At 38.7% G+C, this 13,674-nt stretch overlaps 1 annotated feature.

Moving 5' to 3' along the window:
- Positions 3,042-4,241: an enhancer, noted in NCBI's record as "CDK7 strongly-dependent group 2 enhancer chr8:63076864-63078063 (GRCh37/hg19 assembly coordinates)". NCBI's record gives its function as "activates an origin of replication core promoter dependent on BRD2, BRD4, P300/CBP, MED14 and CDK7 cofactors, with strong dependence on CDK7, by STARR-seq in HCT116 cells {active_cell/tissue: HCT116}" and the evidence as "EXISTENCE:reporter gene assay evidence [ECO:0000049][PMID:35650434]".

Below are 13,674 nucleotides of genomic sequence, written 5' to 3'. Positions count from 1 at the left end.
ATGGCTTTGATTACTTCAAGGTATGTCCCTTCTATGCTGATTTTGCTGAGGGTTTTAATCATAAAGAGATGCTGGATTTTGTCAAATGCCTTTTCTGCATCTATGGAGATGATCATGTGATTTTTGTTTTTAATTCTGTTTATGTGGTATATCACATTTATTGACTTACTTATGTTAAACTATCCCTGCATCCCTGGTATGAAACCAACTTGATCATGGTGGACTATCTTTTTAATATACTATTGGATTCCATTTGCTAGTATTTTGTTGTGGATTTTTATATCTATGTTCATCAGGGATATTGGTCTTAGTTTTTTGTTGTTGCTATGTCCTTCCCTGGTTTTGGTATTAGGGTGATACTGGCTTCATAGAATGATTTAGGGAGGATTCCCTCTTTATCTTTTGGAATAGTGTCAATAAGATTGTCAATGGATAGAATCTAGCTGTGAATCTGTCTGGTCCTAGACTTTTTATTGTTGGCAAATTTTTAAATTACCATTTCAGTATCTCTGCTTGTTATTGGTCAGTTCAAGGATTCTGTATCTTCCTGGTTTAATTTAAGAGGGTTGTATATTTCTAGGAATTTATCCATCTCCTCTAGGTTTTCTAGTTTGTGCCCTTAAAAGGGTTCATAGTAGCCTTGAATAATCTTTTGTATTTCTGTGGTATCAGTTGTAATGTCTCACATTTCATTTGTAATTGAGCTTATTTAGATCTTCTCTCTTCTTTCCTTGGTTAATCTTGCTAATAGACTATCAATTTTATTTATTTTCGAGAACCATATTTTTGTTTGATTTATTTTTTGTACATTTTTGTTGTTGTTGTTTCAATTTCATTTAGTTCTGCTCTGATCTATGTTATTTCTTTTCTTCTGCTGGCTTTGGGTTTGGATTATTCTTCTGTCTTGAGTTCCATGAGGTGTGACCTTAGATTGTCTATTTGTGCTCTTTCAGACTTTTTGATGTAGACATTTAAGGCTATGAGCTTTCCTCTTAGCACTGCTTTTGCTGTATCCCAGAAGTTTTGATAGGTTGTGTCACTATTATTGTTCAGTTCGAGTAATTTTTTAAATTTCAATTTTGATTTCATTGTTGACCCAATGATCATTCAGGAGCAGGTTATTTAATTTCCATGTATTTGCATGGCTTTGAAGGGTCCTTCTGGAGTTGATTTACAATTTTATTCCACTGTGGTCTGAGTGAGTACTTGATACAATTTCAATTTTTAAAAATTTACTAAGACTTTTTTTGTGTCCTACTGTATGGTCTGTTTTGGAGAATATTCCATGTGCTGATGAATAGAATGTACATTCTGTAGTTGTTGGGCAGAATGTTCTGTAAATATCTGTTAAGCCCATTTGTTGTATAGTTTAAGTCCACTGTTTCTTTGTTGACTTTCTGTCTTGATGATCTGTCTAGTGCTGTCAGTGGAGTATTAAATTCCACAACTATTATTGTGTTGTCTATTTCATTTCTCAGGTTTAGTAGTAATTGTTTTGTAAATTTGGGAGTTCCAGTGTTAGGTGCATATTTATTTAGAATTGTGATATTTTCTTGTTGGACTAGTCCTTTTATCATTATATAATGCCTCTCTTTGTCTTTTTTAACTGCTGTTGCTTTAAAGCTTTGTTTTGTCTGATATAAGAATAGCTACTTCTGCTTGCTTTTTTGTGTCTTTTGCATGGAATGTCTTTTTCCACCCCTTTACATTCAGTTTATGTGAGTCCATATGTGTTAGGCAAGTCTCCTGAAGACAGCAGAAACTTGGTTGGTGAATTCTTATCCATTCTGCCATTCTGTATCTTTTAATGTTAGTATTGAGATGAGAGATACTATTCTATTCATCATGCTATTTGTTGCCTGAAATACCTTGTTGTTGTTTTTATTGTGTTATTGTTATACAGGTCCTGTGAGATTTATGTTTTAAGGACATTCTATTTTGGTGCATTTTGAGGATTTGTTTCAGGATTTAAAGCTCCTTTTAGCAGTTCTTGTAGTGCTGGCTTGGTAGTGGTGAATTCTCTCAGCATTTGTTTGGGAAAGACTGTATCTTTCCTTCATTTATGAAGCTTCGTTTTGCTGATACAAAATTCTTGGCTAATAATGGTTTCGTTTAAGGAGGCTAAAAATAACCTCCTTAACTCACAGGGTTCTGCTGAGAAATCTACTGTTAATCTAGCTTGTAGGGCTTTTGCGGAGAAATCTGCTGTTAATCTGATAGGTTTTCCTTTCTAGGTTACCTGATGCTTTTGCCTCATAGCTCTTAAGATTTTTTCCTTCATCTTGACTTTAGATAACCCAGTGACTGTGTGTGCAGGGAATAATCTCTTTTTCAATGAATTTCCTGCATGTTCTTTGAGCTTCTTGTATTTGGATGTCTAGATCTCTAGTAAGACGGGAAATTTTCTTTGATTAATTCCTCAGATATGTCTTTCAAACTTTTAGATTTTTCTTCTTTCTCAGGAGCACTAATTATTCTTAGGTTTGGATGTTTAACATAGTCTCAAACTTCTTGGAGGTTTTGTTCATTTTTAAAAATTCTTATTTGTCTGTGACAGATTGGGTCAGTTTGAAAGCCTTGCCTTTGAGCTCTGAAGTTCTTTCTTCTGCTTTTTCTATTTTATTGCTGAGACTTTCCAGTGCATGTTGCATTTCTGTAAGTGTGACCTTGATTTTCAGAAGTTGTAATTGTTTTTTATTTATGCTATCTATTTCACTGAAGAATTTTCCTTTCATATCCTGTATCTTTTTTTTTTATTATTTCTTTAAGTTGGAATTCACCTTTCTCTGGTGCCTCCTTGATTAGCTTAATAATCGACTTCTGAATTCTTTTTCTGGCAATTCAGAAATTCCATTTTGGTTTGGATCCATTGCTGGTGAGCTAGTTGATCTTTTGAGACAGTTAAAGAATCTTATTCTGTCATATTGCCAGAATTGTTTTTCTGGTTTCTTTTCTTTTGGGTAGAGTATGTCAGAGTGAAGATCTGGGATTCAAAGCTGCTGTTCAGATTCTTCTGTCCCACAGGGGGCTCCCTTGTGGTGTTCTCCCTCTTCCCCTAGGAATGAGGCTTCCTGAGGGCTGAACTGTAGTGATTGTGTTTGCTCTTCTGGGTCTAACCACCCGGTAGAGCTACTGGGCTCCGGGCTGGTACCGGGGAGTGTCTGCAAAAAGTCCTGTGATGTGATTCATCTTCAGGTCTTGCAGCTGTAGATAGATATCAGCACCTGCTCCAGTGGAGGTAGCAGGGAAGTGAAGTGTACTCTGTTAGGGTCCTTGGTTGTGTTTTTGTTTATTGCTCTGGTTTTTTGTTGGTTGGCCTCCAGGCAGGATGTGGTGCTTTCAAGCGTGCATCAGCTGCGGCCCCTATAAGGAAGATGTAAACTTGCCCTAGGGACACCTGGTTAAGTATTCAGGTTTCTCGGGTAGTGGGCAGGGCCATGGAACTCCCAAGTGATTATAACTTTTGTCTTCCACTACCAGGGCTGGTAGAGAAAGGTCAGTGGGTGGGGGCAGATATAGGTGTGTCTGAGCTCAGCCTCTCCTTGGGCAGGGCTTGCTGTGGCTGCTGTGGGGATAGGGGTGTGGTTCCCAGTCCAATGGAGTTATATTTCCAGAAGGATTGTGGCTGCCTCTGCTGAGTCATACAGGTCACCAGGGAAGTGAGAGAAAGCTGGCAGTCACAGGACTCACTCCACACCCACACAGCCCGCAGTCTTAAAGGCCAGTCTCATTCTCACCATGACCGATCCCCCAACACCACACTGAGTCTATTTCCAGGCAGCCAGTGACCAGGGGTGAGGACTTGCCCCAGACCACTAGCCTCCCTGCTGAGAAAGCAAGCAGAAAGCAATCAGACTCTCAGGTTTTTGGCATCTCAGGGAGCCTGCAGCGGTGATTCAGTTCCTTCAAAGGGTCCGTGGATTCTCTTGGCTTTCCTGGTTGTTCCTGTGGTAATTCTTGGAGCAAAAGTTCACAGTGTAAGTTACCACATGCCGCTCTGCCCGTCCAAGTGGGAGCTGCAAGCTAGTCCTGTCTCCTATATGCCATCTTAATCCTCTCTCCCTCTTTTTAAAAAAATAAGTTTGTTGCTCCTTTCATTCTCACTTCTTCTCCTGGATCCTGGATGCCTGTAGTTTGTATATTGATTTTTCTTAATGATGTCTCATAAATTTGGTGGATTTTCTGCACTGTTTTAAAATGTATTTTCTCTGATCTCCTCAGACTATGTAATTTCAAATTTGTTTTTGAGTGTGCTGAGAATTGTTTCTTCTGCTTGATTGAGTTTGCTACTGTAGCTGTCTGTGGTGGTTAATATTAGGTGTCAAGTTGACTGGATTGAGGGATGCCTAGAAGGCTGATAAAGCATTGTTCCTGGGTGTGTCTGTGAGGGTATTGCCAGAGGAGACTGACATTTGAATCAAAGGACTGGGAAAGAAAGACCCACCTCAATGTTGGGTGATCATCATCCAATTGGTTGTTAGAGCAGCTAGAACAAAGCAGGTGGAAGAAGGGGGACAGGTAGTTTGCTTGCTGAGTCAGCTTGCTCTCTCTCTTCCCATGCTGTGCTGGATGCTTGACTTCCTCTCCTCCTGTCCTTGGACATCAAACTCCTGGTTCTTCTTTCACCTTTGAACTTTGAGACTTGCACCAGCTGCCTCCCAAGGGTTCATGGGCCTTTGGCCTCTGACTGAGGGTTGCACTGTTGGCTTCTCTGGTTTTGAGGCTTTTGGACTTGAACTGAGCCACGCTACTGGCTTCTCTCTTTCCCCTGCTTGCAGACAGCCTAACGTGGTACTTTGTTTTTGTAATTGTGTCAGAAAATTCTTTCTTTCCCCTGCTTGCAGATAGACTAAGTGGTACTGTGGTAGGAGTTATTTAAAAATTATTTCAGTCAGATAGAGAGGAAAAGGAGTCCTTGGAAAGTTTTTTTATCTTTTAAAGCAGCTCCAGAAGTTTTTCAGCTCCAGAGTTTTTTTCTCTTTTAAAGCAGCCCTGGCTCTTAGAGCTGGGCCAGCAACCTTTGATATGCAAATGCAGGTCATTAGAAATTGGGTCCACACAACATGGTGATTCCCACCATTGCCCTCTTGCCCTTGACCCCATAAGTGCCTGGCAACATGCCACCCGCACATATCTCCACGTGTGTAGAACGTCATGGTATCTTGCATTTGCATATTAAAAGGCTAGGGTAGGAGGGCCAGTTTTTTCTGAGGGCTATGTGAATGACATGCCTGGTCAAACCAATCCCCTGAGCCCTATGCAAATCAGACACCCTTTCCTCCAACCTTCACATAAAACTGGCTGGTATCCACCACACTCGGGGTCTCCTCTCTTGGCTTTGGAGCCACCACCCCCCACCTCCGGTCTGTCTCTGTACATGGGAGCTTCTTCCTTCTTTCTTCTCCCTTCTTTCTTGCCTATTAAACCCTCTGCTCCTTAAAGCCACTCCATGTGTGTCCATGTCGTTTTATTCAATTCGCACAAGACAAGAGCCCTGGTGTTCCTCCACTCGTTGGAACTGTATCAGTACTTTGTTTTGAAATTATGTTGACCCAGTCCTCCATAATGAACTCATACGTACACACACACACAAACACATGCACACAAACACACACACATACATCTCCTGTTAGTTCTGTTCCTCTGGAGAACCCTAACTAATACACTTTCTGTTGTATTTTTTTTCCGTTATCATATTCTTCAGCTCCATAAATTCTATTTGGTTCTTTTTTTTATGTTTTCTAGCTTTTGTTTATTGGTCTCATTTTGTTCTTATATTATTTTTCTGATTTTGTTCAATTGTGTATCTGTGTTCTCTTGTAGCTCACTGAGCTTCTATAGCATACATATTTTGAATTTTTTTCAGGCAAATTACAGATATTTATTTATTTCACGTCAGTTGCTGGAAGTTTATTTTGTTCCTTTGGTAGTGTCATATTTCCCTGAGTCTTTGTAATCCTTGTAGACTTGCTTAGGACTTTATGGACTCCTTCAGTAAGAAACGACCTTCAGCAATACCTTCAGCATTGACGGAGGTAGGGTGTAGTTCCTTGGGTGTTGTTGAGGGGGCACATTCAAATGTGTAGTAACACTGGGTATACTATCATGGGACACCAAAAGTGGCAGTAGGATGCAGTTTCTCGTGGATCAGGCAACTGGGGTCAGTCTGCAACAGCAGCAACTCCACAGCCGATGGGGTGAGAGCTACAAATGTCTGTGTTGGCTGTGAGGGTTGTTTGGGTCCTTGGAGGTGCTTTTTGGTTTAGCAGTGATCTTCTTTTGGTGGGAAGGGACTAAGGCAGGTGGCATCTCAGGCTTATGTCAGTGGTATGCATATGCTTGGTGGTAGGGTCTGGCATTGGTGGGGGTTGGGACTGATCATGTGTGCATGAACACCTGCAAGGGCCAAGCTGTCAGCCTGCATGCAAGCAGCTGCAGCGACCAGCTGTGTCTGTATGCACAGTGGTGGGGCCTGTTGGCAGGCTTTGGGTTTGTCTGTCTGTGCATGCCCAGTTGTGGGTGTCAGGGCTGGCAATGTGCATGAATGTGGAAGAGGGGACTGTCAGTGGGGCTGGCATTGGCTACATGCAAGTGGTCAACCATGGGTGCATGAACAATGGGGAGGAGGGAAACACTGGTTGCAGGGGCTGGAGCTGGTTTCAGGCATACATGTGGTGGCTAAACTGGGTTCTGAAGCTGGAACACCTGTGGTGGCACAGGATAGAATGTTTCTGGCAGGATGGTTTAGGAGTCTGGGCAGCTGTGGTCTGTGAATGTGAAAAACTGCAGGGTCCTTGCAGCAAAAACAGTAAGGCATTCATGATGGCTGTTGAGGTCCTCATTAGTGAAGGCTGTGGGGGTTCTCTGAGGAGCAAGACACGGTGGACTGCAGTGGCTCCCACTGTGTTGATGATACTGACAGCTTCTTCCTTCTTTGCTCCTAGCCATCTCTAGATACCTTGGTTATGCTGATCTCTCCAGTGGGTGGGGTGAAATAATTTTGGTCACATGGGCAGTGCTCCAAAAACTAGTGAAGCTGGTCATTCACTCTGCCTTTCATTTCCTCTATGAAGGGAACTCATGGGCTGAGGAAATTCCTCTGGACACTGAGCTGTATAGGCCTGAGGGATGGGATGATGAAGGCAGAATGAAACTGTTCTTCCTACCCTTCTGTGTGGTTAATAGTCTCTCTTCCTTTCTCTCTCTTTGCACTACTGTGTTGCTGTAGCTTTGTAACTGGACTCTTGCACTCTCCCAGAGCTATTTTCTTCATGAAAAATGTCTAATTATTGCTTTTCGTTGGGAGATGAAGGCTCGGAACTCCTACTTTTTCATGTTGCTCATGTCAGGCCTCTCTTATTGCCTCAGTTTAAATCCCAGCTCGGGCACTGACTAACTTGGGTAAATTATTTAACCTCTTTGTTCCTGAATTTCCTAATTGGTAAAATATGGGTAATAATTTCACCTATCTCATGGGCTTTTTATAACTATTAAATAATTTAATTAATGTATAGCACCTATTGTAGTCCTTAGCAGACATTAAGCTCTCTGCAAGTGTTGATCTTTATTGGCAGGAAGCCTTGCCTCTAGGGGTAGCCATTGCCAAAATCTGATACTTCTCAGTTTTTGCTGGAGTGTTAACTGTGATAGGAGGTCTCCTGCCTTAAGAGCTGTAATCTGTTCAATTTCTCCAGAACCACATGAAGCAACTCAGCTTTTTATCAGGACTTTCCTATTCTTATTCTTGCTCTTGTTCTTGTCTATGCTGGAACTGCTGCTACTGCTGTCTTTCTGCTCTTTCTCTTTCTTCTTCTATTCTTCTCTTTGTTCTTCCTCCTTCCTCCTCCTCCTACTTCTTTTCCTACTCCTCCTCCTCCTTATCCTTCCTGTAGAATTCACTTGTAATGCACATATAAGTTAGCACAAAAAACCATATAACCTGTTATTTTGTTTCCCTCTTTCTACTATAGACTCTCATGTTTATATTTCCTCACTTCATCCTAATGATACTAAAATATCACATCTCACAGAAAAGAATGCTTGACATTCTATTAAGTCATCACTTCTTCAGATTTTGACCTTTTTTCCTCTGGACATTTCTTTCTTATCCCTTCAGAAATCTAATATTGTGAACATTATATTCTATTATAATCTTCATTAGCACTCTGAAGCCACACTCCAACAAATCAGTAAGTCATCCCTTCCCCAGGTTTCTCCACCATTCACAAGTTTAGTCATGTTTCTTCATCTGCGTCACAGTTTGCTGACAAATAGTCTTCAATTTTTCCTACTGTTTTCTAATGCCTGCTCCTAATGCACTATTACAAAGAAATATGGTTAAGGCCACAATATTTAAATGACAAGCAAGAACCATCTCAGTTCATGGAGTAAACATTCTCATACTATAAATTTTTATGTAATAAAAAGAATTAAGTTTACAGGACAAAGCTTATACAGGTTCTGTCCTTATTTACATTTTAAGCCAAAACCTTAGAAAACCAGACTGAATTCTAGGCTAGCACGTGGCTCAACAAAGTTATTACTCTTGCACACTTGAATTTGTATTAGGAACTTTGGCCTTTTTAACACTACTCCTTTAATCCCCCAAACTTTGAGAAAAGAGTAACCATGAAGCATATAAGGAAGAGTAATCCAGGTTTTCTTTTGTTTTCCTTTCATTTCTGATTTCTCCTTGGCTTTTCAAATAACAATGGTTGCTTTTGCTTAGGGTCCCTAGCAAAGAGAAATCAATACATTTATGCTAACATATGATTGATTTAGCAATCATAAGGCAAGGTGACGATGGAAGTGGAGATTGAAATGATATACCCAGGGGCCAATGAATGCTGCAGCCTCTGTAAGTGGAAGAAACAAGAAACCAATCCTCTCACACAGCCTCTGGAAGAGCTAACCTTGATGATATACTGACTTTGGTCCAGTGAAACTGTTTTTGATCTTCTGACTTCTGCAATTATAAGAAAATAAACGTGATTTTTAAGCCACTAAATTTATAGTAACCTTTTGCAGCAGGAACGGGAAATTAACACAAACTTGGGTACCATAGTGGGGTGTTGTTATAGTAATCATCTAAATAATCATAAAGACATTGTTGCTAGAGATATGGACTTTAAATGTGCTGCTGGTGAGGGTATAGAAGAAGTGAGACTTATGAAATATATTGAATATATTAGAAATATCTAAGATAGATATTTCTATATTAGAAATATCTAAGATAGATATTTCTATCTTAGAAAATGATAGAATATTAAACAGGATGCTGGTAGAAATATCATGGGTAGGGCAAATACCTTAAAATAACAAAATATTCTTAATTTCTCCCTTCTGGGCCTTGTATCATTTCTGGTATTCTTTCCATTTATACACAAGCATACATGTAATTATATTCACATAGAAATGCATAATTGGATATATTGATATTATTATTTTAAACAAATTTTTATATGTTAGATCAATTAAGAATAAGAAAAGTTTTTATTTTTCCTTCATTTATTCATTTTCCAGTGTTTTTCCTCTTTATGCAGATCACAGTTTCTGACCTATATAATTTTCTTTAACTCTGAAGATCTTTTAACATTTTTGCAAGGCAGATTTCCTGCCAACAAATTCACTTAATTTTTGTTTATCTGAGACAGACTTTATTTCTTCTTCATTTTTGAAGAATAATTTTGCAGGGTATAGAATTCTAGGTTGTTGGGTTTTTTTCCTCAATGCTGTTAATATTTCACTCTACTCCTTTCTTAGAAGTCAGGTATAATTTTTATCTTTGTTCCTGTATAGATATTTTTTTCCTCTGATGTCTTTTAACATGATTTATTTACCTTCTTTTTTTTGCAGTTTATGATATGTCTAGGTGTAGTATTTTTGACATTCATCCTTCTTGGTGTGCTCTGAGCTTCCTTGATCTGTACTTTGGTGTCTGACATTAATTTTGAGAAATTGTCAGTAATTCCTGCTTTAAATATTTCTTCTGTTTCTTTCTCTCTTTCATCTATCTACTTCTGGTATTCCTATTACATGTAAGTTATTCCTTTTGTCATCATGTCACAAGTTTTGGATATTCTGTTCCAGTTTTTTGTTAGTCTTTTTCACTTTGTTTTTCAGTTTTGGTAGTTTCTATTGACATATCCTCAAGCTCAGTGATTCCTTTCCTCAGCCATGTCAAGTTTACTAAGGAATCTATCAAAGACATTCTTCATTTCTGTTACAGCGTTTTTGAACTTTAGCATTTCTTTTTGATTGGCTCAGAATTTCCATCTTTCTGCTTACATTGTCCATCTGTTCTTGCATGTTGTCTGTTTTTTCTATTAGACCGCTTAGCACATTAGTTATAGTTGTTTTAAATTTATGATCTGATAATTACAACATCACTGCTGTATTTGAGTCTGGTTCTGGTGTTTACTCTGTCTCTTCAAATTGTGGTTTTGGCTTTTAGTATGTCTTGTAATTTGTCATTGTTGTTGAAAGGCAGACATGATGTACTGGGTAAAGAAACTATGTTAAATAGGCCTTTAGTCATGTATTAGTAAGGTGTCCAGGGAGAGGAAGCATCCTATAGTCCTATGATTATGTCTCAGTATTTTAATAATCCTGTGCCCTGGTCTGTGAAGTTCCTTTAGGCTGGGAATTTCTTTTAGGTTTTACAGGATGGCCACATGGGGCTGGAAATGTTGGTTGACAATATTGACAAATGCTTCTTATTTATTTTTTCCTACTCTCCTAGGTTTCACAGGATAGCTAGGTGGGGCTGGAGTTTGGTATTTCCTCTCTTCGAGATTGGCAAGGCTCTGACAAAAATTCCAATAGGTTAAGCTCTGGCAAAATATCTGGTTAAATAGAACAGACACAGAATGCTCTGGTATATTTCAAAGTGGTTATTTACTCCCTCCTTCTGCTGAAAGTCTGAGGGAATTTTTCTCCAGTTTTCTCTGTGAGAAGTTGGCAGAGCTCTTGATGGAAAAAATGCACAAAAATGTGGGGGCCCCCAATGACTGGGTCCCACTGGAGTCTGCGTCTCTCAAATGTGTCTACTCTGAGCCTTCATCAGTTTCTCAATCACAATTCAGGTTTTCCTCATCTGACTCTGGTTCCCTATGGAGGTTGCTGCTCATGGCTTTCTGCTCCAGTGAATTGTGATTCTTTATATCCACCTGTCTATCTCTCTTTCCAGTTTTTGAGATACCACCTTGCCCTGTGGCCTCACTTCTCTCTCAGATCTAAGAAGAGTTGTTGAGTTTTCCATTTGTTCATCTTTTTACTTATTGTTAGGATGGAATAGTGACTTCCAAACTATTTACAGGCTAGACCAAAAACAGAAAGTCTCACAACATGCTTTTTAAAGCAGCTTGGTTGTGATGTGAAAGAATGTAATAAAGATGAAAGATTTAAGGATTTTATTCCCTTATTGCTAGAGGCTTGAACTACACAGAATAAGCCAGTAGAGTGGGAAGATTGCAAGTAGAGAAAAGAGGGAGAATCACATGGAAAACCAGACTGGAGTAAACATAACCTTTAGCATGGGTGAAGACATGTCCTCAAACAGAATGGTGAAATTATCCTCTTTGGAGACTGATGTCCCATTCTATTACTTATCTGTAAAGATCCTTAAATGTAGTAAGACAGTGTCCTTCTCCTTTTAGGGCAGCTAAACTGGAAAAATAATATATTTCTAGGGATTCTTGAGAACTGCTAATAACGCATAATATTCAGAAGACAAAATTCAGAAGGCAAATGGTGCAAAAGATATTTTTCCTGGACCACAAACCACATACACTTTCAAAATTCCCTGTAACCCTTCCTGACCTATGTTATCTACATATCTGGACATTTTTTAACCTGTTTCCCCCATTTGAACTATATGACCCTTTAGCTTGACTTTTCTCCAATATTGCTATATATTGCATTATAATAACTTTTTTCATTTTGTACAAGGGGAAATGTTGGTTGACAATATTGACAAATATTTATTGAGTACCTACATTTTGATAGATAAGCCTCACATCTCTTTTTCACAGATTGAATTTAAGATTTTTCTCTAATTCATTCTTGATTTCACCAACAAGCCTGAACCTAGATCTTATACTTAGGTAGATGATAGGCAAATGCTTACTGAATTAAAAATAAATGAAGCTTCTTTAATATTAGCATGTTCATGCTTTCATACATTAACTGTCAGAAACAATAGTTAAGAGTACGAAGCTTTTCTCATGAATAATGGCACCCACTTAATCCTTATACAAACTCATGATGTAGATACGGTTACATCTATTTTACTGTTGAAGGAACTTAGCTTTAAAAAGCTTAAATAATCTACCTGAAGTGACACAACTAATAAGAACTTGAATAACTTGCCAACTCTACTTACTTATTTTTTAACTTTCACCTTCTTCCATTCCTAGAGTATGCTGACTGTTCACATAAACCCTTGACCTTCCACCATCACGTGTCATCAGATGTCAAGGTCAAATATTAGGCAAAATGAACTTAGAGGATGAGTAAAAAGAAAGATTTCACCTGTAGATAAGTAAGTTGTGTAGTCACAAATAATACAGTGGTATTATCAGAATAAAATCCTAGAAAAGAGTCTCTGTTGGTGAAGTCCCCTTGTAGTTCATGAAGCACTGATAGGCATAGGAGCCTTGGCTCAGCTTGTCCTCATCTTCTTAAACATAGTGTTTGCTGAGATGTGTGTGGGATGCCTATATGTGTGCATAACCCATCACCCAGATGGCTCTTGACCATAATTTTGTCTGATTTCTTGTCATGGTTCATCTCTTGCATTCTGTTTTGGCTCTGGTGTTTACACTGCTCACAAGTGTCTTGGAGGGCTGCACCAAGACCATTTAGTCGTTTAGCTTACTATAGCACAAGCACTTTGTGGAGTTGGGACACTTGACTGAAAATCACGTACTCCATCCCTGAGAAGTAATATTTTCAGTTTATTTCACAGAGACTACAGTTTTTCAAATTCAGAGAGGGTGTCTATTTCCATAGCAGAGGTAATTTATTCTAGTTACTTAAGATTCAAATCTAAATCCGTGTGCCATTGGTAATTTAGGGTAGATATAAGGAAAAATTTCCTAAGAGCTTTATGGGTTATTAAACGTCGAAACCTACCACAGACAAAAACAAAAAGAACCCTCTTCCTGCTGAAGTATTTAAATATGGGATCAATGAACATTATCCAGGGTGGGCTGTAGTCGACCTATAGGGATACAAAGATGTGGACTAGAAGACTTCTCAAGGTCTTTTTCAGGGCTCACATTCTAAGATTCATACTTTAAAATCGGTAATATTTGTTAAGAAAAATTATCTTATTACTTTGTGAAGAGAGAAAACATTAAATATTCTAGAGGCAGTGATAAGCATTTATAGTGTACTAAACCAATACTGCTGCTTTAGAAGATATTTACAAAGTTTCACTGATTGTGAAGGTTGTAGTTCTTATGGGTTGAGGAACTACAGTTTTTAATGTAACACTGAAAACTCATGCAATGAGAATGGAGAAAATCCTCCCCAAATACTCACATTCATTTGTTGTGTACATTCAATAAAGAGGAGATAGGTTAGAAATCTTCCAAAATGCTGTCTCTGAATTCATAGTAAAAAAGAATCTAAAGATATAAATGGCTGTCAAAAACTGTACCATGCTGTTGG

This window comes from Homo sapiens, chromosome 8 (assembly GCF_000001405.40).
Source record: "Homo sapiens chromosome 8, GRCh38.p14 Primary Assembly".
Lineage (NCBI taxonomy): Eukaryota > Metazoa > Chordata > Mammalia > Primates > Hominidae > Homo > Homo sapiens.
Note: the sequence above shows the minus strand (reverse complement) of the source record. Positions and strands in the feature narration are given on the sequence as shown.